The sequence below is a fragment of the Homo sapiens genome, chromosome 8 (genome assembly GCF_000001405.40).
Source record: "Homo sapiens chromosome 8, GRCh38.p14 Primary Assembly".
Classification (NCBI taxonomy): Eukaryota; Metazoa; Chordata; class Mammalia; order Primates; family Hominidae; genus Homo; species Homo sapiens.
In genome coordinates, this window is record NC_000008.11 from 19,893,842 (window position 1) to 19,920,345 (window position 26,504).

Here is a 26,504-nt window from a genome sequence, read left to right on the forward strand (position 1 = left end):
TCATAAGTGGGAGTTGAACAATGAGAACACATGGACACAGGGAGGGGAACATCACACATGAGGGCCTATCAGGGGGTGGAGGACTAGGGGAGGGATAGCATTAGGAGAAGTACCTAAAGTAGATGATGGGTTAATGGGTGCAGCAAACCACCATGGCACGTGTACACCTATAACGTGTATATGTGTAACAAATCTGCAAGTTCTGCACATATATCCCAGAACTTAGAGTATGTGTGTATATATGTCCAGCAACAAACTTGATGCCTATGATGTTCTGGTCTAGGGTTCAGTCCAGGGAGCGCCACCTCTCACCTCAATCCATATATATATATAAAATTTACATAATGTATATTATATATATAAAGAATTATGCCTATATATTATATATGTGTTATATATATAAAAAGAATAATGCCATTTTGTAATAGAGAAAAACAGTAAAATAGACAAAAATTAATTTCTTCCTTTCCAATCAATTAGATCTAAAAACAAGAAGTTCTCTCTCATAAGATGAATGAGGTGTTAGTTTTAGGAGATAGACAAGCACCCAACAGGAATCTGTGAGATTAAGAAATAAAAGATCATATTTGGGAATACAGTGTAGTCTTGCTCTGAAGGAAAAACCTCCTCGCTCTGTTCTCCTGGTTGAGATCATTCTAGGAACTTAGGGTTCGGATTATTTATATTCATTAGGGCTTTTGCAAGGCAAAGCAAACAAGAGAGGAGAAGCAAAGCTGGGACCTGTCCAGCAACAAATTCGATGCCTATGATGTTCTGGTCTAGGTTTCACTCCAGGGAGCACCACCTCTCACCTCGATCCAGACCACTGGGAATTAGAAGTCAAGCTGCCAACAAAATGAAGGGACAAAGGTCAGTGGCCACAAACTGCCTGCTAAGTCCTTCCGAAGTCTCCATATTCACAAATACCATCTAAACAGATGCCTCCAGAGCATCTTAAAGACAATATAAATAAGAAGCTAAGGCGTCAAACAGGCTTATCTCCTGATGGACTCTTCCAGGGTGACATATAAGTAGCAGAGTGCAAGAGACAGCTCTCCTATAAGACTTCATGCTCTAGGAAATTCACAAGCACAGAAATCAATCCATTTAAGGACCAGCACCGTGGGGGTGGTTGACTTTGAACACATATAAAGCATTATCTCTACATTTTCTCTAAGTTCCCATACTGAGAATTGGCCTCTGGGCTCTGGGTTCCAAAGCCATTTCCTGGTGTATTTCTTAGGACTGTAATTTTTCAAGGGTAAAATTCTGAGACTTAGGAAAAGCTCTTGCATGTCGCTGTAGTAGAAACTGAGCAAGAGCAATTCTGAGTGGAATTCACTTTCCAGTCAGGTGTCAGCACAGTTTCAGATATGTCATCAATTTGAGTAAATACAATGTGCAACTTATTTCTTGTCATTATTTTTACTTATTAGCTTGGGAGGTTTACTTTTTGGAAAGCAAGATAACATTTCAAAATGATACTGTGTCATACCTCAAAAGGAAGAAACATCATTAAGAAGGTACAAATAATCCCTAAACAGCAACATTTATATAGTACTCTTCAGTTCACAAGTTCCTCTTAAAAATGACCCTATTTGATTTCAAAACACTCTCATAAGGTAGGCAGGGAAAATATTATAATGTCATTTTTACAAATAAAGAGACTGAGAGGCTCAGACTGGTGAGGTCAACCGCCAACCCTCAGCTGACATTATTAATAGAAAAATAAGGACTTAAACCTTCTCCTCTCAGTAGCATTCAATAGTAATTGTTCATGTATCTCATTTTCCTTAACAAAATAATAATAATATTGATAATAATAACATAACACCCTTGATTCTTGACCCCTGGTGACCACAACTAATTTCAGAATACATAAACATAAGGGCAAATTGTAACTGTTTTCTTTAATACTCATTTGAATATTACACAGAAAAAAATCAGTAAATATTTATTGAGGGCCTGTGATGTGTTCAGTGATGGGGATATCAAGTGCTTAAGATAATAAGCTGAAATTATACATTTTACTTAAATAGCACTGAATATTCACATATATCAAACTATGTACAATTTTGTTTGGTACATTTATATGCATCAAAATATGTAGACAACATGAATCAGTGACTGAATTTTTCACTTTTCGTGTTGATATTTTGTCACTTTACATAGAAAAATCAAAGACCAAAGATGAAAAATATCTGGTACTCTGAATCCTCCATTCTTTCACTAGGGATGTGATACTAATGCAAAAAGCTCTGGTGGGACCAGATGCAGAGGCCGCAGAAGGAGACCAGGACGTAGACTTGTGCCAGCCTGCCTCTTTGTTGGGTTTGTTCAGGCAGGCTCTTCTCGCTATCTGACCTTCAAACCTGATAATCATTGGCTTGATTTGAATAATCTGCCCAGCCCTGAAAAACTAACCCGCTGACTAAGGGGTGGGAGATACTAATTGGCTAGACTAGGATCCCATGTTCAACCCTAGATCCAGAAGTAGGGATTAATTCTACTCCTAAACATGGATCTATATTGGAGTGGTAGTAAAAATTTAGAGTGCTTTGACCAAAAGTGGGGAGTCTAGATGGTCAAAAGTAAATAAATAAATAGAAAAGATGTAATACAGGGGTTGATCTGTAAAACAACAACAATAATAACAATAATAAGTTGGTCTGATGGTCTATCCTGGGAAGCACAGACCTAACTTATACTGCTTCCAGGGGTGGATGCTACTTAGCACTGTAACTAGGTATCAGGAATTCTCGTTTCTTATCTCAACTTGTTTTGAGAAAAGAAATGAGAATTCCTTAAGAATTCTCATTAAGAGAGAGAACACGTCCTTTTACACAGATACTTCACATTGAACTTCTACTAAGTTTATATGTAAAAAACTTGACTGAAACAAACAAAAAGAATCCTATGAATTTGCCCATGTTGTGCCTATAAGTTATTCCCTTTTTTTCAATATTATAAAGAGGAAACTTTTGTTTCAATTTTATAAGTAAAGACAAATTTCCATTGTTTTAAAATTTTACTTTAAGTTCTGGGATATGTGTGCAGAATGTGCAGGTTTGTTACATAGGTATGCATGTGCCATGATGGTTTGCTGCACCTATCAACCCATCATCTAGGTTTTAAGCCCCACATGCATTAGGTATTTGTCCTAATGCTCTCCCTCCTCTTCCCTCCAACCCCTGACAGGCCCCAGTGTGTGATGTTCCCCTCCCTGTGTCCATGTGTTCTCATTGTTTGACTTCCACTTATGAGTGAGAACATGTGGTGTTTGGTTTTCTGTTCCTGTGTTAGTTTGCTGAGAATGATGGTTTCCAGCTTCATCCATATCCCTGCAATGGACATGAACTCATTTTATTTTTATGGCTGCACCTATATGTTATTCTTTCACTGCTTCTACTCCATGGTCCCTTTGGACAACACTAAAGATTCAGGTGGAAACCAAAAATAAAATTCTAAGCACCTCCCTACCCAACCATCTGAATGGACTCCCTCCTCAGCCAGGGGACCCCAGAGTTAACCTGAAAGACTACTTCAGGCCATGATGGGAAGGGTGGGTGTGTCAGACATGCCTCATTATGCTCTCCTCCCTTTTGGAATTCAGGAAAAGCCGACCAGCATTTAACATCAACACAGACCCTGAGTCTGATAAGAAATATGTATAATCTACTCTCTCTGAATCCTGCTACCTGGAGGTTTCATCTACATGATCAAACTTTGCTCTCCACAACCTCTTATCATAACCTACACATTTCACTTTTCAACCAATTGCCAATCAGAACATTTTTAAATCTACCTATAACCCGGAACCACCCTTCATCTTCGAGTTGTCCCGCCTTTCTGGACTAAGCCAATGTATATCTTAAATGTATTTGATTGATGTCTCATGTCTTCCTAAAATGTATAAAACCAAGCCGTGCCCTGACCACCTTAGGCACATGTTCTCAGGGTCTCCTGAGGGCTGTGTCATGGGCCATGGTCACTCATATTTGGCTCACAATAAATCTCTTCAAATATTTTATAGAATTTGACCTCTTTTCATTGACACAGAATAGACCACTGCCTTCCTTAAATAGCTAATTCCAACCTTCCTCACTCCTCTCCCTCTTGCTCCTGTAGAATGCTATCATCAACATTCTTAGAAAGATTGTCTGCTTCAGATGAATTTATACCTGACCTGGAGAAAACTTGCTTGTCTTGGTTATCATCCAACATGAAAGCTGCCCTCTTAGGCATTCAAAAAATTCAGTGAAAAAATACTGTTCTAAACACAGTTTGTTAGGGTTAAATGCTTTTTCAACTCACATAAAAAAAGAGGGCCTCCCTCAGGAGGCAATGCATAGGAACTTATCAAAAACAGTGCCCTTTAAATAATGTCTGCCTTATTAAAAGAAACAGGCTGGAAAGGGGATTCGAGTCTCAAATGGTTTGTACTATTACTACTAATAGTTGAGAGTTAGGAAGTGAAAAATCTAGAAAATGAAACTTTCTTGGCTCCTATTTTACTAAATAAAACTCCTAACCCTCGTAACTATGGAGACAGATTTATAAATTAATTCCCTAATAACTTGTCCTGGGTTCCCTAGAAAACAATAACAATGCTTGAATCAAAATTGTATGTGCTGTTACTTTTATGGGGGTTGGGGGAGAGACGCAATCCCAGAGAAATAAGAATAAGGCGAAAAGAGGAAGTGAGGCAAAGGAAGGAGGAAACACAAATACAAAGAAGTGCCTCATAGAACTGGACAAGCTGGCTGCTTGATCTTGCAGGATATCTCCTGAGAATGATATAAAACTACCGTACCCAGGAACAGTCCGTCCACGGCGGGAGGAAAAGTGAGCAATTCCTTATGTTGCAGTAGGAGTAATAACTTTCTGCTACTTATTACATCTTACTTAGATGCAGAAGCCATATTTGTACTTTTTTTTTTTTTTTTTTTGGAAACACGTTCTGTCTCTGTCACCCAGGCTGATGTGCAGTGGCGAGATCATGGCTTACTGCTGCCTTGACCTACCTGGGCTTAAGAGATACTTCCACCTCAGCCTCCCAAGTAGCTGGTACCACAGGCATGTGCCACCATACCCAGCTAATTTTTTTTTTTTTTTGTATTTTACAGAGTTGGGGTTTCACCATGTTGCTTAGGCTGGTCATCTTGAACTCCTGGGCTCAAGGGGTCCACCTAACTCAGCCTCCCAAAGTGCTGGAATTATAGGCAAGAGCGCCACAATGCCCAGCCTCATATTTGTAATTTAATTATTTTTGCAATTTAATAAACTGTACAACACCATAAGTATGAGGATGTAGGGGCCAAGGGAAAATGTTCCCTTTGCCCTCTAAAAGTTCCGCTGAAAAATCAACTCACGAAAGGCAGATTAATTGGAGAAAAGGCATACAAATTCATTAATGTGCACATGGGAGAGAATCACAGTGATTACCACCCCCCACAACAACGGGGTTTAGAAGTTTATATACCCACTTAGGGTTACAAAAAGAATGGGGTCTTGGATTATGGCCAAACAGTTTATGGTGATGGAGAAGAGGAGGCCTGGCTGGCAAAGGTGGTCTTGTTATGTACATGAGACCTCACAGGTAGCAGCTCTCAGACAGAAAAGATGGCAAATGTTTCTTTCACATGTTTAAAAGCATCAGATTCTCAGTTCATCTTCCCTAGATGTGGCCAAGGGAAGGCCTGGCTGCCTCAATGCAGATTCTCTACAGATGCACTTGGTAATCACTGGCTTGATTTGGGTAATGTGCCCAGCCCTGAAAAACTAACCCTCCCCAATAAAAACAGCTTTGTAGGGTTACATGTGTTTGCTGACTCTCCGAACAGCCATTGCAAAATATGTCAAAAATATTTTGGGGAAAAATATTTTTATTTTCTTCAAAGACAAGGACAATGACTATCTTGCACAAAGATACATTCCTAGCACTTAGCGGTTTCTGGATCCTCCCAGTGACCTCTTATTTAAAGTCAAGGGACAACACTGAGGGCCAGCGAGACATCCAACAGAATATGTGTGGCTGACACTCAAGACCATGCATGATTAATGGGAGAAGCAGCATTGCCAAGGGGGCAATAATTGTTTTTTAGGGAGTAAAAAGAATCTCTCATATTATAATGGTTTGTGGCCCTCTGAAAGGCCAACATCACTAAACAGAAACACAGTATGCATCACGTGCCAGGGGCTCTCAGCTGTAATCCCAGCACTTTGGGAGACTGAGGCAGGAGGATCACTTGAGGCCAGGAGCTTGAGACCAGCCTGGGCAACAATAGGGAGACCTCATCTCTACAAAAAAAAATTAAAAAACTAGCCAGGTGCGTTGGCCCATGCCTGTGGTCCCAGCTACTTGAAAGGCTGAGGTGGGAGGATAGCTTGAGCCTGGGAGGTCAAGGCTGCAGTGAGCCATGATTGTGCCACTGCACTCCAGCCTGGGCAACAAAGCGAGACTCTGTCTGAAAAAAAAAAAAATTTAAAAAAAGAAATACAGTCTGTTTGTGGTATTAAAATTTCATGGGTGGGGCACTGTTAGAAAAGAAAGATCGGCCGGGCACAGTGGCTCACACCTATAATCTCAGCACTTTGGGAAGCCGAAGCAGGCGGATCATGAGGTCAAGAGATCGAGACCATCCTAGCCAACATGGCAAAACCCCATTTCTACTAAAAATACAAAAATTAGCTAGGCGTGGTGGCGCGTGCCTGTAGTCCCAGCTACTCAGGAGGCTGAGGCAGGAGAACCGCTTGAACCCAGGAGGCAGAGGTTGTAGTGAGCCGAGATTGTGCCACTGCACTCCAGCCTGGCAAAAGAGCAAGACTCTGTCTCAAAAAAAAAAAATAAAATAAAATAAAAGAAAAAAGGTCTATTAAGATCCTCAAAAGGATAGTAAGTATTAAAAAGATTGAGAAATTGTGCTGTCAGCCACATTCCTAAACTTTCAGGTGACTTTGAATATACCATGTAATAATTGGGGGTTCAGCATATTTATCTGTTTGTGGGGAAGGGTGGAGGAAATGGAGATGGCAGGAGGAGAGTAACTTTCCAGTTAACCCATTACTAGCCAGGAACAAAGAAGAGAGTCAAGGCAGGGACCACATATTATATTCACCTTCGTGTGACTCACACATTATCAATAAATGCATAATGAATGAAAAATAAAAAAGGAAGTGATTCATGAAGAAACACAAATTCATTTCTTCAGCAGGGTTTGCCGGAATTGACACTGCTTCAGACATCCAAAATTATTACAGGAAAGTTAGGATGAAGTACCAGCTAATCATTTCCCCTAGGAATCCCATAGTTTTGTATTAACCCTGCTATCATTTCAAAATAATATAAAATCAATCAGAGTAATTTGATAATTTATCTACCTATTATTACATATCGCATTCTTCTGTTTATCAGTAAATTCACAATACTCAAGTATAGTAATGATCAAGAATATAAAGCAGTTGCTTACAATTTTAGTTATGTAAATACTATTTCCTCCATGTAGGAGTTAAATGTTCTTTCCCTTCTCTCTCTTTAGTTTTGAGATTGAAACTGAAGCACTGTGTAATTCCTGAGACTGAGTTTCTTGGAAATTTGGGGCAAATCACAATCAAGTGCAATGGGCAAATTCTTGTTAGGAGTCCAGCTTATGCTGATCAGAAGCCAAGATATACTATAAGAATTAAAATGTGAAATGGCACATATGTCATTTAAAACCCAATTAAATATTCAGCAATGAGGTATGTGTGTAGTTTGTAGAATTATAAATCAGAACTGCTGTTCTCAGAAAGGGTGTAATCTTATTCGGGCCACATGATTAACAGAGAAAGAAAACAGTATACAACATTATGTAAGTAACCCTGATAATGATGTAGAACAGTTTGTATGCTGGAAGAGTTCTGAAAAGATCTCTGAGGGCTGGAAGTGCTAAGGACAATTTCATAAAGAAGGTAAGAGATTATCTACATAGATCTGAATAGTCTAAAAGAAATTGTGAATTCATGTTGGATATTTTGAAGGGAATAAGAGGAAACTGCCACAGTAGGGGTATAGTCAGTGCCTTGAGGGTCTCTGGGGCCCATAAACAGTGAGAATAGCTACCATTTATTGAGTACCGAGCCCTGGGACATAAAGTCCTCCAGGACACCAAACAATGAGACAATTCAAAATACTGGTTTCTGGTCTTGAGAAAATAAATGACTCTATTCACTGGGTAAAAAATTGTCTCTAGTTCCTTGTTTTCTAAAGAAAAAAATGTAGGAGGCCCTAATCCAGCTGTAAGCAAACAATTCTTGAAAATCATTTTTAATGTTAGAAGAGTTTATGACTTTTTAGCATGTAACTAGGAAGAAATTCTAAGAACAGAATGGCATTAGTATTAACAAATTTTCTTCCATTGTTATCTATTTATTTACATACAATAGTATTCCATATGCTTACACGTATGAAAGTAGAATAAGAATAAAATTGATGCTGAACACTGAATCATTCTAGCAATAACTAACGTTTAACAAACACATCAGTAAATTAAACTTTAAAAAGCCTATCCAGCCAGGCGCAGGGGCTCATACCTGTAATCCCAGCACTTTGCATGGCTGAAGGGGGCGGATAACTTGAGGTCAGGAGTTCAAGACCAGCTGGGCCAACACGGTGAAACCCCATCTCTACTAAAAATACAAAAATTAGCTGGGCATGGTGACTCCCAGCTACTCGAGAGGCTGAGGCAGGAGAATCACTTAAACCCAGGAGGCAGGGGTTGCAGTGAGCTGAGATCGTGCTACTGCACCCCAGCCTGGGCTACAGAGCGAGACTAGGTCAAAAGAAAGCCCATCCATCTCATTAAAAGTGATTTTCTCATAAAATTTTTTTTTTATATTTACCACTTATTAACATTTGTGTTATATGTGATTTATTATGTAATTATCATAGTACCTCAACCCAAAATATAATTTTAACCCTTGGAATCTTATTATAAATTAAGATAACCTTAATTTCAAAATATATAGTTTGTTATAGTATAATATGAAAAATGATTAATAATATTTACATATAAATACCAAAAGTCCCTTGCTGACTTCTGAACTACACATATCTGGGCCAAGGCAATGAAGAACCTAGAGAAGAGATGACAGCTTGGTAGGCACAACAGTATAACGCAGAATAGACCCACAGATGACCCAGATGTTGGAATTAGCAGACAAACATTTTAAAATAACTATGAAAATATGTTTAAAAATGTACAAAGATGGATATATGTGGCAAGAGTAAGGAGTATCAGGGTAACCACAATAAAAAACTAAGTGAAAATTTTAGAGCAAAAAAAATTTTATACAAAAAAAATTGATTGGATGGTATTAATAGAAGATTTTACATAAAGGAGAAAGAATAAGTGAGCTTGAAATTGGATCAACTTAAATCATCCTAAGTAAAGCACTGGAAGAAAAAGGACTTAAAACAGTCAAAATAACCTTCAAGGTGGTATTAAGGCATGTGTAAATAGAGCCCTAGAACAAAATAGACCAAGAACGAGTCAGAAAAAGTATTTAAATTTTAACAAAAATTTTTCTTTTCTTTTTTTTTTTTTTTTTGAGGCAGAGTCTTGCTCTGTCACCCAGGCTAGAGTGCAGTGGTGCGACCTCGGCTCACTGCAAACTCCGCCTCCCAGGTTCAAGCAATTCTCCTGCCTCAGCCTCCCAAGTAGCTGGGATTACAGGTGCCCGCCACCACGCCCAGCTAATTTTTGTATTTTTTAGTAGAGACGGGGTTTCACCATCTTTGCCAGGCTGGTCTTGAACTCCTGACCTCATGATCCACCTGCCTCGGCCTCCCAGAGTGCTGGGATTACAGGTGTGAGCCACCATGCCTGGCCAACAAAAACTGTTCTAAATTTGATGAAAAAGAGCAACTTGCACATCGGTCAATCCCAGCAAATCCCAAGAAAGTTAAATGCAAAAAAAAAAAGACAAAAAACCCCCAAACAACAAAAAACAAAACTCATACCTGCAAACATCATAATTAAATTGCTGAAAACCAAAAAAGAAAGAAGACATGGACACATGTAGACAATGATAATAATGAAGGTGATTTCTCATCACAAAAACTAGAGATGAAAAAAAGACATTTTTAAAAAACAAACAAAAGACTGGCAACTTAGAATTTTATACTCAACAAAATATCCTACAACGTTAAGATATTTTCAGACTAGTAAACAAAATCAGGGATAATTTGTTGCCAGCAAACACACACTATAAAAAACTACAAAAATAAGTTATTTAGATTGAAGGGTAATGATACTAGATGGAAATTTAAATCTATGACAAATAATGAACACTGAAATAGATGATCAAAGTTTTAAAAGTTGCTGAGTATGACTTTACCAAATTATAAAACTGGTACTATTTAGAAGGGCACAGTTAATAAAATGAAAACCACACACTGGAAGAAAATATTTGCAAAAACTTATATGTAAAGTTTGTTTACAGAATATATAAATCACTATAAAAACTTGATAACCTAAAATAAAGAGATTGAGAAAATATTATTAAGTATTGAGTTCATTCTAGTACAAAGTTTGAAAACGGCCACCAGGGAACACAGATTCGAAAGAATGGAAGTCAGTGCTCCGAAGTGGGGAAGTTTGGGGTTGTTTATAGCTAAGGCTTGGGAACCTTAATTAGGTTTCCACATTTTCCTCACAAGGCTAGCACATAGTTACAGTACTAGCCTTCAATGAATATGATGAGTTAAGTTTGACTAATCATATTATAATATGATTAGCTATAGTTCAACTAATATGATAGTTGGAACAGTGTTCATTTTGGGAAAGGCATATTTAACAATCCACATGGAGGGTGTAACAATGATGGGGTCTTTTGCACCACCTGGTCTGAATTAGGTGGAAGATAATAAAGGAAGAAAGGTCAGCAAGCAGGAGGGGAGAAGGTGGCATCTCTGGCACCATTTAGTCTTTCTTACTCAATTTACAGAACAAGAGCAATGAGGAAGAGAGTTAATCTATAATAGGAGAAGCAGAAGTTGCAGCTACTTATTGCATAGCTTAGACCACATGCTCATATTTCCTTCAAGGCTCAACATAAATTTTAGGGTTCCACAAATTATGATTAAGTTTTAATTATTTATTTTTATAAACTCAGTAATATGGAAACAAATGAACCAATTTAAAAATAAGCAAAATATTTTAAAATATCTGCACCAATAAAAGGTACACGAGTGATGAAGTACCACATGAAAATCTTTGCAACATCAGAAGTCACTAGGGAGATGCAAATAAGTACCACAGTGATGTATCACTATACACCTGGTAGAATGCCTTAAAAATTTTTACCATACCATCTGCTAGGAAAGATATAGAGCAATGCCTGGAGGTAATGAAAAGTGGCACAACCACTTGGAAAATAGTTTGGTGGCTTCTTATAATGTTAAACATATGCTCATCATATGACACAACAATCTCTTTCTTACATGTTTACTCAAATGAAGTGAACACGTATATTCACACAAAAACCTGTATGCAAATGTTGATGCTGGCTTTATTCATAATCATTAAAAGTTTTAAACAACTAAATTATAATTCAAGTGCTTAATGGATAAACAAACCATGATACCCAATTCTCAAAAACACAGTATTAGTGTATTAGTCAAGGTTCTCAGAGAAACAACTGATAGGAGACAGATAAGTAAGTGGATAGATATAGATAGGTAGGTAGATAGGCAGATGAGAGGAGATTTATTATGGGCACTGGGTTACACCATTATGCAGCCTAAGTCCCATGATATGCCATTTACAAGCTGTAGAACCAGAGATGCCTTTTGCATAGCTCAGTCCAAGTCCAAAGACCTGAAAAGTAAAGTAGTTGATGGTATCGCTCCCAGTCCAAGGCAGCAGGCCTAGGAACCTGGAGGCCACTGCCACAAGTTCTGGAGTCCAAACGCCAGATAGTCTGGAGTTCTGATATCTAAGAGCAGGAGAAGATGGGTGTCCCAGCTCCAGAGAAAGTGCAAATTCACTTTTTTTCTGCCTTACTGTCCTGTCCAAGCCCTTTGTAAAATTAATTTTAATTTTTTTCTTTTTTTATTATACTTTAAGTTCGGGGGTACATGTGCAGAACGTGCAGTTTTGTTACATAGGTATACACATGCCATGGTGGTTTGCTGCACCCATCAACCCGTCATCTACCTTAGGTATTTCTTCTAATGCTATCCCTCCCTTAGCCCCCCGCCCCCCAACAGGCCCCAGTGTATGATGTTCCCCTCCCTGTGTCCATGTGTTCTCATTGTTCAACTCCTACTTATGAGTGGCAACATGTGGTATTTGGTTTTCTGTTCTTGTGTTACTTTGCTGAGAATGGTGGTTTCCAGCCGCATCCATGTCCCTGCAAAGGACATGAACTCATCATTTTTTGTGGCTGCATAGTATTCCATTGTGTATGTGTTCCACATTTTCTTTATCCAGTCTATCACTGATGGGCATGTGGGTTGGTTCCCAGTCTTTGCTATTGTGAATAGTGCTGTAATAAACATATGTGTGCATGTGTCTTTTTTTTTTTTTTTTTTTTGAGACAGAGTCTCGCTCTGTCACCCAGGCTGGAGTACAGTGGCATGAACTAGGCTCATTGCAACCTCCACCTCCCGGGTTCAAGCAATTCTTCTGTCTCAGCCTCTCGAGTAGCTGGGACTACAGGCGCACACCACCATGCCTGGCGAATTTTTGTATTTTTGGAAGAGACAGGGTTTCACCATATTGGCCAGGCTGGTCTCAAACTCCTGACCTCATGATCTGCCCGTTTCGGACTTCCAAAGTGCTGGGATTACAGGCATGAGCCACCATGCCCGGTCTCATGTGTCTTTATAGTAGAATGATTTATAATCCTTTGGGTATATACCCAGTAATGGGATTGCTGGGTCAAATGGTATTTCTGGTTCTAGAACCTTGAAGAATCACCACACTGCCTTCCATAATGGTTGAACTAATTTACGCTTCCACCAACAGTGTAAAAGCGTTCTATTTCTCCACATCCTCTGCAGCATCTGTTGTTTCCTGATTTTTTTATGATCACCATTCTAACTGGCATGAGATGGTATCTCATTGTGGTTTTGATTTGCATTTCTCTAATGACCAGTAATGATGGGCTTTTTAAAATATGTTTTTTGGCCACATAAATGTCTTCTTTTGAGAAGTGTCAGTTCCTATCCTTTGATCACATTTTGATGGTTTTTTACTTTTTCTTGTAAATTTGTTTAATTTCTTTGTAGATTTTGGATATTAGCCCTTTGTCAGATGGATAAATTGCAAAAATTTTCTACCATTCTGTAGATTGCCTGTTCACTCTGATGATAGTTTCTTTTGCTGTACAGAAGCTCTTTAGTTTAATTAGATCCCATTTGTCTATTTTGGCTTTTGTTGCCATTGCTTTTGGTGTTTTAGACATGAAGTACTTGCCCATGCCTATGTCCTGAATGGTATTGCCTAGGTTTTCTTCTAGGGTTTTTATGGTTTTAGGTCTTACGTTTAAGTCTTTAATCCATCTTGAATTAATTTTTGTATAAGGTGTATGGAAGGGATCCAGTATCAGTTTTCTGCATATGGCTAGCCAGTTTTCCCAACACCATTTATTAAATAGAGAATCCTTTCCCCATTGCTTGTTTTTGTCAGATTTGTCAAAGATCAGATAGTTGTAGATGTGTGGCATTATTTCTGAGGGCTCTGTTCTGTTCCATTGGTCTATATCTCTGTTTCAGTAACAGTACCATGCTTTTTTGGTTACCGTAGCCTTGCAGTATAGCTTGAAGTCAGGTAGCGCAATGCCTCCAGCTTTGTTCTTTTGGCTTAGGATTGTCTTGGCTATGTAGACTCTTTTTGGTTCCATATGAAATTTAAAGTAGTTTTTTCCAATTCTGTGAAGAAAGTCATTGGTAGCTTGATGGGGACAGCATTGAATCTATAAATTACTTTGGGCAGTATGGCCATTTTCAGGATATTGATTCTTCCTATCCATGAGCATAGAATGTTTTTCCATTTATTTGTGTCCTCTCTTTTTCTCTTGAACAGTGGTTTATAGTTCTCCTTGAAGAGGTCCTTCACATCCCTTGTAAGCTGTATTCCTAGGTATTTTATTCTATTTGTAGCAATTGTGAATGGGAGTTCACTCATGATTTTGCTCTCTGTTCATCTGTAACTGGTGTATAAGAATGCTTGTGATATTTGCACATTGATTTTGTATCCTGAGACTTTGCTGAAGTTGCTTATCAGCTTAAGGAGATTTCAGGCTGAGACGATGGGGTTTTCTAAATATACAATTATGTCATCTGCAAACAGATAATTTGACTTCCCTTTATTTCTTTCTCTTGCCTGATTGCCCTTGCCAGAACTTACAACACTACGTTGAATAGGAGTGGTGAGAGAGGACATCATTGTGTTGTGCTGGTTTTCAAAGGGAATGCTTCCAGTTTTGTACATTCAGTATGATATTGGCTGTGGGTTTGTCATAGATAGCTCTTATTATTTTGAGATACGTCCCATCAGTACCTAGTTTATTGAGAGTTTTTAGCATGAAGTGCTGTTGAATTTTGTCAAAGTCCTTTTCTGCATCTATTGAGATAATCATTGTGGTTTTTGTCATTGGTTCTGTTTATGTGATGGATTATGTTTATTGATTTGCATATGTTGAACCAGCCTTGCATCCCAGGGATGAAGCCGACTTGATCTTGGTGGATAAGCTTTTTGATGTGCTGCTGGATTCGGTTTGCCAGTATTTTATTGAGGATTTTTGCATCGATGTTCATCAGGGATATTGGTGTAACATTCTCTTTTTTTGTTGTGTCTCTGCCAGGTTTTGGTATCAGGATGATGCTGGCCTCATAAAATGAGTTAGGGAGTATTCCCTCTTTTTCTATTGATTGGAATATTTTCAGAAGGAATGGTAGCAGCTCCTCTTTGTACCTATGGTAGAATTCGGCTGTGAATCCATCTGGTCCTGGATTTTTTTTTTGGTTGGTAGGCTATTAATTATTGCCTCAATTTCACAGCCTGTTATTCGTCTATTCAGGGATTCAACTTCTTCCTGGTTTAGTCTTTGGAGGGTGTATGTGTCCAGGAATTTATCCATTTCTTCTAGATTTCCTAGTTTATTTGCATACAAGTGTTTATAATATTCTCTGATGGTAGTTGTTTGTATTTCTGTGGGATCAGTGGTGATATCTCCTTTATCATTTTTTATTATGTCTATTTGATTCTTCTCTCTTTTTCTTTATAAGTCGGGCTAGCGGTCTATCTATTTTGTTGATCTTTTCAAAAAACCAGTTCCTGGATTCATTGATTTTTTGAAGGGTTTTTCGTGTGTCTATCTCCTTCAGTTCTGTCCTGATATTAGTTATTTCTTATCTTCTGCTAGCTTTTGAATTTGTTTGCCCTTGCTTCTCTAGTTCTTTTAATTTTGATGTTAGGTGTCAATTTTAGATCTTTCTTGCTTTCTCTTGTGGGCATTTAGTGCTATAAATTTCCCTCTAAACACTGCTTTAAACGTGTCCCAGATATTCTGGTATATTGTGTCTTTGTTCTCATTGATTTCAAACAACATCTTTACTTCTGCCTTAATTTCGTTATTTACCCAGCAGTCATTCAGGAGCAGATTGTTCAGTTTCCATGTAGTTGTGCGGTTTTGAGTGAGTTTCTTAATTCTGAGTTCTAATTTGATTGGACTGTGGTCTGATCTGAGAGACTGTTATGATTTCCATGCTTTTGCAATTGCTAGGGAGTGTTTTACTTCCAATTATGTGGTCAATTTTAGAACAAGTGCGATGAAGTGCTGAGAAGAATGTATATTCTGTCGACTTGGGGTGGAGAGTTTTGAAGATGTCCATTAGGTCCACTTGGTCCAGAGGTGAGTTCAAGTCTTGAACATCCTCGCTAATTTTCTGTCTCGTTGATCTGTCTAATATTGACAGTGGGGTGTTAAAGTCTCCCATTATTATTGTGTGGGAGTCGAAGTCTCTTTGTAGGTCATTAAGGACTTGCTTTATGAATCTGGGTGCTCCTGTATTGGGTGCATATATATTTAGGATAGTTAGCTCTTCTTGTTGCATTGATCCTTTTACCATTATATAATGCCCTTCTTTGTCTCTTTTGATCTCTGTTGGTTTAAAGTCTGTTTTATCAGAGACTAGGATTGCAACTCCTGATTTTTTTTTATTATACTTTAAGTTCTAGGGTACATGTGCACAACGTGCAGGTTTGCTACATATATATACATGTGCCATGTTTGTGTGCTGCACCCATTAACTCGTCATTTACATTAGGTATATCTCCTAATGTTATCCCTCCACCCTCCCATGACAGGCCCCAGTGTGTGATGTTCCCCTTCCTGTGTCCAAGTGTCCTCATTGTTCAATTCCCACCTATGAATGAGAACATGAGGTGTTTGGTTTTCTGTACTTACGATAATTTGCTCAGAATGATGGTTTCCAGCTTCATCCATGTCCCTACAAAGGACATGAACTCATCCTTTTTTATGGCTGCATGCTATTCCATGGCGTACATGTGCCACATTTTCTTAATCCAGTCTATCATTGATGGACATTTGGGTTGGTTACAAGTCTTTGCTATTGTGAATAGTGCCGTAATAAACATACGTGTGCATGTGTCTTTATAGCAGCATGATTTATAATCCTTTGGGTATATACCCAGTAATGGGATGGCTGGGTCAAATGGTATTTGCCACAATGTCTTCCACAATAGCTGAACTAGTTTACAGCCCCATCAACAGTGTAAAAGTGTTTCTGTTTCTCCACATCCTCTCCAGCACCTGCTGTTTCCTGACTTTTTAATGATCGCCATTCTAACTGGTGTGAGATGGTATCTCATTGTGGTTTTGATTTGCATTTCTCTGATGGCCAGGGATGATGAGCATTTTTTCATGTCTGTTGGCTGCATAAATGTCTTCTTTTGAGAAGTGTCTGTTCATATCCTTCGCCCACTTTTTGATGGGGTTGTTTGATTTTTTTCTTCTAAATTTGTTTAAGTTCTTTGTAGATTCTGGATATTAGCCCTTTGTCAGATGCGTAGAGTGCAAAAATTTTCTCCCATTCTGTAGGTTGCCTGTTCACTCTGATGGTAGTTTCTTTTGCTATACAGAAGCTCTTTAGTTTAATTAGATCCCATTTGTCAATTTTGGCTTTTGTTGCCATTGCTTTTGGTGTTTTAGTCATGAAGTCCTTGCCCATGCCTATGTCCTGAACGGTATTGCCTGGGTTTTCTTCTAGGGTTTTGAGGTTTTGGGTCTAACATTTAAGTCTTTAATCCATCTTGAATTAATTTCTGTATAAGGTGTAAGGAAGGGATCCAGTTTCAGCTTTTTACATATGGCTAGGCAGTTTTTCCAGCACCATTTATTAAATAGGAAATCCTTTTCCCATTTCTTGTTTTTGTCAGGTTTGTCAAAGATCAGATGCTTGTAGATGTGTGGTATAATTTCTCAGGGCTCTGTTCTGTTCCATTCATCTATATGTCTGTTTTGGTACCAGTACCATGCTGTTTTGGTTACTGTAGCCTTGTAGTATAGTTTGAAGTCAGGTAGCATGATGCCTCCAGCTTTGTTCTTTCGGCTTAGGATTGTCTTGGCAATGTGGGCTCTTTTTTGATTCCATATGAACTTTAAAGTAGTTGTTTCCAATTCTGTGAAGAAAGTCATTGGTAGCTTGATGGGGATGGCATTGAATGTATAAATTACCTTGGGCAGTATGGCCATTTTCACAATATTGATTCTTGCTATCCATGAGCATGGAATGTTTTTCCATTTGTTTGTGTCCTCTTTTATTTCATTGAGCAGTGGTTTGTAGTTCTCCTTGAAGAGGTCCTTCACATCCTTGTAAGTTGGATTCCTAGTTATTTTATTCTCTTTGTAGCAATTGTGAATGGGAGTTCACTCATGATTTGGCTCTCTGTGTGTCTGTTATTGGTATATAGGAATGCTTGTGATTTTTGCACAATGATTTTGTATCCTGAGACTTTGCTGAAGTTGCTTATCAGTTTAAGGATATTTGGGGCTGAGATGATGGGGTTTTCTAAATATCCAATCATGTCATCTGCAAACAGGGACAATTTGACTTCCTCTCTTCCTATTTGAATACCCTTTATTTCCTTCTCCTGCCTGATTGCCCTGGCCAGAACTTCTAACACTATGTTGAATAGGAGTGGTGAGAGAGGGCATCCCTGTCTTGTGCCAGTTTTCAAAGGGAATGCTTCCAGTTTTTGCCCATTCAGTATGATATTGGCTGTGGGTTTGTCATAGATAGCTCTTATTATTTTGAGATACGTCCCATCAATACTTAGTTTATTGAGAGTTTTTAGCATGAAGGGCTCTTGAATTTTGTCAAAGTCCTTTTCTGCATCTATTGAGACAATCATGTGGTTTTTGTCATTGGTTCTGTTTATATGATGGATTATGTTTATTGATTTGCATATGTTGAACCAGCCTTGCATCCCAGGGATGAAGCCAACTTGATTATGGTGGATAAGCTTTTTGATGTGCTGCTGGATTCGGTTTGCCAGTATTTTATTGAGGATTTTTGCATCGATGTTCATCAGGGATATTGGTCTAACATTCTCTTTTTTTGTTGTGTCTCTGCCAGGCTTTGGTATTAGGATGATGCTGGCCTCATAAAATGAGTTAGGGAGTATTCCCTCTTTTTCTATTGATTGGAATATTTTCAGAAGGAATGGTAGCAGCTCCTCTTTGTACCTATGGTAGAATTTGGCTGTGAATCCGTCTAGTCCTGGATTTTTTTTTGGTTGGTAGGCTATTAATTATTGCCTCAATTTCACAGCCTGTTATTCGTCTATTCAGGGATTCAACTTCTTCCTGGTTTAGTCTTTGGAGGGTGTATGTGTCCAGGAATTTATCCATTTCTTCTAGATTTTCAAGTTTATTTGTGTAGAGGTGTTTATAGTATTCTCTGATGGTAGTTTCTATTTCAGTGGTGATATCCCCTTTATCATTTTTTATTGCGTCTATTTGATTCTTCTCTCTTTTCTCCTGTATTAGTCTTGCTAGCGGTATATCAATTCTGTTGATCTTTTCAAAAAACCAGCTCCTGGATTCATTGATTTTTTGAAGGGTTTTTTATGTCTCTATCTCCTTCAGTTCTGCTCTGATCTTTGTTATTTCTTGCCTTCTGCTAGCTCTTGCATGTGTTTGCTCTTAATTCTCTAGTTGTTTTAATTGTGATGTTAGGGTGTCAATTTTAGATCTTTCCTGCTTTCTTTTGTGGGCATTTAGTGCTATAAATTTCCCTCTACACACTGCTTTAAATGTGTCTCAGAGATTCTGGTATGTTGTGTTTGTTCTCACTGGTTTCAAAGAACATCTTTATTTCTGCCTTGATTGAGTTACGTACCCAGTAGTCATTCAGGAGCAGGTTGTTCAGTTTCCATGTAGTTGAGCGGTTTTGAGTGGGTTTCTTAATCCTGAGTTCTAGTTTGATTGCACTGTGGTCTGAGAGACAGTTTGTTATCATTTCTGTTTTTTACATTTGCTGAGGAGTGCTTTACTTCCAACTATGTGGTCGATCTTGGAATAAGTGCGATGTGGTGCTGAGAAGAATGTATATTCTGTTGATTTGGGGTGGAGAGTTCTGTAGATGTCTATTAGGTCTGCTTGCTGCAGAGCTGAGTTCAGTTCCTGGATATCCTTGTTAACTTTCTGTCTCGTTGATCTGTCTAATGTTGACAGTGGGGTGTTAAAGTCTCCCATTATTATTGTGTGGCAGTCTAAGTCTCTTTGTAGGTCTCTAAGGACTTGCTTTATGAATCTGGGTGCTCCTGTATTGGGTGCATATATATTTAGGATAGTTAGCTCTTCTTGTTGCATTGATCCCTTTACCATTATGTAATGGCCTTCTTTGTCTCTTTTGATCTTTGTTGGTTTAAAGTCTGTTTTATCAGACACTAGGATTGCAAGCCCTGCTTTTTTGTGTGTTCCATTTGCTTGGTAGATCTTCCTCCATCCCTTTATTTTGAGCCTATGTGCGTCTCTGCACATGAGATGGGTCTCCTGAATACAGCACACTGATGGTTCTTGACTTTTTATCCAGTTTGCCAGTCTGTGTCTTTTAATTGGAGCATTTAGCCCATTTACATTCAAGGTTAATATTGTTATGTGTGAATTTGATCCTGTCATTATGATGTTAGCTGGTTATTTTTCTCATTAGTTGATGCAGTTTCTTCCTAGCATCGATGGTCTTTACAATTTGGCATGTTTTTGCAGTGGCTGGTACCGGTTGTTCCTTTCCATGTTTAGTGCTTCCTTCAGGAGCTCTTGTAAGGCAGGCTTGGTGATGACAAAATCTCTCAGCATTTGTTTGTCTGTAAAGGATTTTATTTCTCCTTCACTTATGAAGTTTAGTTTGGCTGGATACGAAATTCTGGGTTGAAAATTCTTTTCTTTAAAAATGTTGAATATGGCCCCCACTCTCTTATGGCTTGTAGTGTTTCTGCCAAGAGATCTGCTGTTAGTCTGATGGGCTTCCCTTTGTGGGTAGCCCGACCTTTCTCTCTGGCTGACCTTAATATTTTTTCCTTCATTTCAACTTTGGTGAGTCTGATAATTATGTGTCTTGAGGTTGCTCTTCTCGAGGAGTATCTTTGTGGCATTCTCTCTGTTTCCTGAATTTGAATGTTGGCCTGCCTCGCTAGATTGGGGAAGTTCTCATGGATAATATCCTGCAGAGTGTTTTCCAACTTGGTTCCATTCTCCCCGTCACTTTCAGGTATGCCAATCAGATGTACATGTGGTCTTTTCACATACTCCCATATTTCTTGGAGGCTTTGTTTGTTTCTTTTTACTCTTTTTTCTCTAAACTTCTCTTCTCGCTTCATTTCATTCATCTGATCTTCAATCACTGATACCCTTTCTTCCACTTGATCGAATTGCCTATTGAAGCTTGTGCATGCATCACGTAGTTCTCATGCCATGGTTTTCAGCTCCATCAGGTCGCTTAATGTCTTCTCTAAGCTGTTTATTCTGATTAGCCATTCGTCTAATCTTTTTTCAAGGTTTTTAGCTTCTTTGTGATGAGTTCGAAATCCTCCTTTAGCTCAAAGAAGTTTGTTATTACTGATTGTCTGAAGCCTTCTTCTCTCAACTTGACTAAGTCATTCTCCATCCAGCTTTGTTCTGTTGGTGGGGAGGAGCTGCGATCCTTTGGAGGAGAAGAGGTGCTCTGATTTTTAGAATTTTCAGCTTTTCTGCTCTGGTTTCTCCCCATCTTTGTGGTTTTATCTACCTTTGGTCTTTGATGATGGTGACGTACAGATGGGGTTTTGGCATAGATGTCCTTTCTGTTTGTTAGTTTTCCTTCTAATAGTCAGGACCCTCAGCTGCAGGTCTGTTGGAGTTTGCTGGAGGTCCACTCCAGACTCTGTTTGCCTGGGTATCACTGGCAGAAGCTGCAGAACAGCAAATATTGCAGAACGGCAAATGTTGCTGCCTCATCCATCCTCTGGAAGCTTCCTCTCAGAGGGGCATCCAGCTATATGAGGTGTCAGTTGGCCCCTACTCGGAGGTTAGGCTCCAGGTAGGCTACTCAGGGGTCAGGGACCCACTTGAGAAGGCATTCTGTCCATTCTCAGATCTCAAACTCCATGCTGGGAGAACCACTACTCTCTTCAAAGTTGTCAGACAGGGACGTTTAAGGCTGCAGAAGTTTCTGCTGCCTTTTGTTCAGCTATGCCCTGCCCTAGATGTGGAATCTACAGAGGCAGGCAGGCCTCCTTGAGCTGTGGTGGACTCCACCCAGTTCGAGTTTCCCAGCCACTTTGTTTACCTACTCAAGCCTCAGCAATGGCGGATGCCCCTACCCCAGCCTTGCTGCCACCTTGCAGTTCGATTTCTGACTGCTGTGCTAGCAGTGAGCGAGGCTCCATGGGTGTGGGACCCTCCAAGCCAGGTGCAGGATAAAATCTACTGGTGTGCTGTTTGCTAAGACCATTGGAAAAGTGCAGTATTAGGGTGGGAGTGTCTCGATTTTCCAGGTACTGTCTGTCACAGCTTCCCTTGGCTAGGAAAGGGAATTCCCCGACCCCTTGCACTTCCCAGATAAGGCAATGCCCCGCCCTGCTTTGGCTCACACTCCGTGGGCTGCACCCACTGCCTGACAAGCCCCAGTGAGATGAACCCAGTGCCTCAGTTGGAAATGCAGAAATCACCCATCTTCTGCGTCACATACACTGGGAGCTGTAGACTGGAGCTGTTCCTATTCAGCCATCTTGGAACCTCCCTCCAACTGCTGCTTTTTTTGCTTTCCATTTGCTTGGTAAATATTCCTCCATCCCTTTATTTTGAGCCTATGTGTGTCTTTGCATGTGAGATGGGTCTCCCGAATACAGCACACTGATAGGTCTTGACTCTTTATCCAATTTGCCATCTGTGTCTTTTAATTGGGGCATTTAGCCTGTTTACATTTAAAGTTAATATTGTCATGTGTGAAATTGATGCTATCATTATGATGCTAGCTGGTTATTTTGCCCATTAGTTCATGCAGTTTCTTCATAGTGTCGATGGTCTTTACAATATGGTATATTTTTGCAGTGGCTGGTACCAGTTGTTCCTTTCCATGTTTAGTGCTTCCTTCAGGAGCCGTTGTAAGACAGGCCTGGTGGTGACAAAATCCCTCAGCATTTGCTTATCTGTAAAGCATTTTATTTCTCCTTCACTTATGAAACTTAGTTTGGCTGGATATGAATCTCTGTGTTGAAAATTCTTTTCTTTAAGAATGTTGAATATTGGCCCCCACTCTCTTTTGATTTGCAGGGTTTCTGCCAAGAGATCCACTGTTAGTCTGATGGGCTTCCCTTTCTGGGTAACCTGACCTTTCTCTCTGGCTGCCCTTACCATTTTTTCTTTCATTTCAACCTTGGTGAATCTGACAATTATGTGTCTTGAGGTTGCTCTTCTCGAGGAGCATCTTTGTGGTATTCTATGTATATCCCAAATTTGAATGTTGGCCTGTCTTGGTAGGTTGGGAAAGATCTCCTGGAGAACATCCTGAAGAGTGTTTTCCAACTTGGTCCATTCTCCCCGTCACTTTCAGGTACACCAATCGAATGTAGATTTGGTCTTTTCACATATTTCTTGGAGGATTTGTTTGTTCCTTTACATTCTTTTTTCTCTAATCTGGTCTTCTCTCTTTATTTCATTAAGTTGATCTTCCATCTCTGGTATCCTTTCTTCCGCTTGATCAATTCGGCTATTGATACTTGTGTATGCGTCATGAAGTAATTTTTTTCTTTTTACCTGTTCCTGGATGCCACACTGGAGGATCAGTTGCTGATGAAAAAATGGTTAACTTATGAAAAAGAGATAATAATCCTACATACATATGCAACTAATAACAGAGCTTCAAAATGCATAAAGTGAATATTGGCAGAACTAAAATGAGGTATCTACAATCATGTTTGGTGATTTTGATATCCTTCACTTGGTAATTGATAAAATGAGTAGATTAAAAATATCAGTAAGGATGTCGATCTAAACATCACTTTCAGCAAACTTTAGCTAATTAATAGTTGTAGAACACTATACGCAACAACTGCGGAATATACTTTCTTTTTCAAATTCACTTGGAACATTTACTGAGAGAACATATGGTGGCCCATAAAACAATTATTAATACATTTCAAGGGATTGCAATCATACAGAGTATGTCCTCTGACCACAAAAGAACAAAATTTAAGACATTTTAATGCAATATCTAGGAAACTTATGAATATTTGGAAATTACTTCTAAAAGCTCATGTGGTAAAGAAAATTAACAAGACAAATTAGAAAATATTTTGGATTAGATGATAATGAAAATACAATATATCAAATTTTGTTGGATGTACCTAGGCTAGAGTGTTCATAGATTGGAAAATTCAGTACTAAGATGTCAGTTCATCCCAAAATGATAGATAGGTCCAATGTCATTGAAAAAAAAATATTAGTTGAAGTTTTGTAGAAATCAACAAGATAATTGAAGAATTTAAAAGGAAATTCAAAGGACCTAGTAAGTAGCTGAAATAATTTCACAAAAGAGAAAATTAGAGGTCTTAAATTACATGATTTCAAGATTAACAGAAAAGTAACAATAAAGACAGTGCAATACTTGGATAAGGATGCATAAATAGATTTAAGAAACAGTATAGAATAAAGGACATATGTACAAATTTGAAATGAGAATTGACAATGATACAATAATAGTAGAAGACTCTAATACTTCACTTGCAATACTGAATAGAATATCCAGGCAGCAAATCAATTTAAAAATTAACAGCAGACTTGAAAAACATTATAGGTCAGATGGACCTAATATACATATACAGAACTTTCCATTCAGGAGTGAAAGAACACACTTTCTTCTTAAGCACACAGAACATTCTCCAGAATAGATCACATGTTGTGTCACAAAAACAGGTCTTAACAAATTTAAGTGGCTGATATCATACTAACTATCTTTTCCAGCTACAATGTAATGAAGCTAGAAAGGAATAACAGTGAGAAATAGAAAAAAAACTACAAACGTGAAAACTAAACAGCACACTCTTCAGCAATCATTGAATCAAAGGGGAAATCAAAAGGAAATTTTAAAAATATCTCAAGACAAACGAAAATGCAAGTGCAACACACTTAAGTGTATGGCATGCAGCAAAAGAAGGGAGTTCTAAAAGGTAAGTGTGTAGCAAAATGCCCACATTAAAAAGACACCATATAAACAACGTAACTTTCTACTTTAAAGAACTAAAAACAGAACAAACTAGGTTCAAAGTTATTAGAAGGTGAGAAATGAATATTAGAGCAGAAATTAAACAGAGAATAGAAAAACAAAAGAAAAAATCAGTAAAACAAATACTTGGCTTTTTGAAAAGATGAAATCAGTAAACTTTTATCTAACAGGAAAAAAGAGAGGAGACTTAAGTAAATAAAATCAGAAATCATAGAAGAGACATTACAATGATTGCCTCAGTAATAAGAAGGATCATAGGGGCTACTATGAACAATTATATGCCAACAAATTGGATAACCTAAAAGAAATTGGATATATTCCTAGAAATATACAACCTACCAAAACTGAAGCAATAAATAGAAAGCAGTAAGAAACAGAGCAGTAATGAGTAAGGACATTGAATCAATAAACGTGAACCTCCCGACAAAGAAAAATTCAGGATCAGATACCTTCAAAGGTGAATTCTAACAAACATTCAAGGAAGAATTAATACCAGTCCTCTTAAACTCTTCCAAAAAATAGAAGAGGGAACACTTCCAAAGTCATTTTATGATGCCAACATTACCAAGATACTACAGCCAGACAAAGACATAACAAGAAAATAAAACTACACACCAATAACTCTAATGAATCCAGACAGAAAAATCTTCAGTGAGATGCCAGCAAACCAAACTCAATGGCATATTAAAAGTATTACACACCGAGTGGGATTTGTTCTTAGGATGTAAAGGTGGTTCAGCATACACAAAACAATACATGTGATATACCACATTAACATAAAATGAACAACAGAAACCACTTGATTATCTCAAGTGATGCAGAAAAATCATCTGACAAAAGTCAGCATCTATCCATGACAAAAACTCTCAACAAAATAGTTATAGAAGAAACTTACCTCAATGCCACAAAGTCTACATATGAAAAACACACAGGTAACATCGTAATTAACGAGGAAAAACTGAAAGCTTTTGCTCAAAGATCTGGTACAAGGCAAGAATGCTCATTCTCACTACTTCTATTGAACATAGTACTGGAATTTTAACCAGAGCAATTAGACAAGAAAACGAAAAACAAGGTACTCATAATGGAAAGAAAGAAGTAAAATTATCTGTTAGCAGATAACATGATCATATATATAGAAAACTCTCAATACTCAATGACAACTGCAAACTGTTAAAGCTAACAAACAAATTCAGTAAAGTTGCAGTATATGATATAAACATACACAAAATGGTGGCATTTCTATACATTAACAAGGAGCTATCCAAAAAGGAAATTAACAAAACAATCTCATTTACAATAGCAATAAAAAGAATAAAATACTTAGGAATAAACTAAAGAAGTGAAAAACTTTGCTATGGTTTAAATGTTTCCCCCAAAGTCCATGCATTGGATACTTCATCTCCAATGTAATAGTGTCCGTAGGTGAGACCTTTTTAATTTTTTAATTTCTATTTTTTATACAGATGGGGTCTTGCTATGTTGGCCAAGGTAGTCTTGAAGTCCTGGCCTGAAGCAATCCTCCTGCCTCAGCCTTCCAAGGTGCTGAGTTTATAGGTGTGAGCCACTTGGTCAAGCCACAGGTGAGACCTTTAAGAGGTAATCAGGTCAGGAGGGCTCTGTCTTCATGAATGGATTAATGGCATTATTGCAGGAGTGGGTTAGTTATTGTGGGAGTGGGCTCCTAATAAAAGGATAAGTTTAGTCCCATTTTCTCTCTGTCTTTAGT

General features: G+C 38.4%; 1 long non-coding RNA gene across 1 annotated transcript; it reads left to right on the forward strand.

Moving 5' to 3' along the window:
- Positions 7,891–26,281, forward strand: LOC107986921 (uncharacterized). Its single transcript, XR_001745822.1, has 3 exons — positions 7,891–7,950; positions 24,514–24,719; positions 26,242–26,281. It is a non-coding gene; the product is annotated as an uncharacterized LOC107986921 (long non-coding RNA).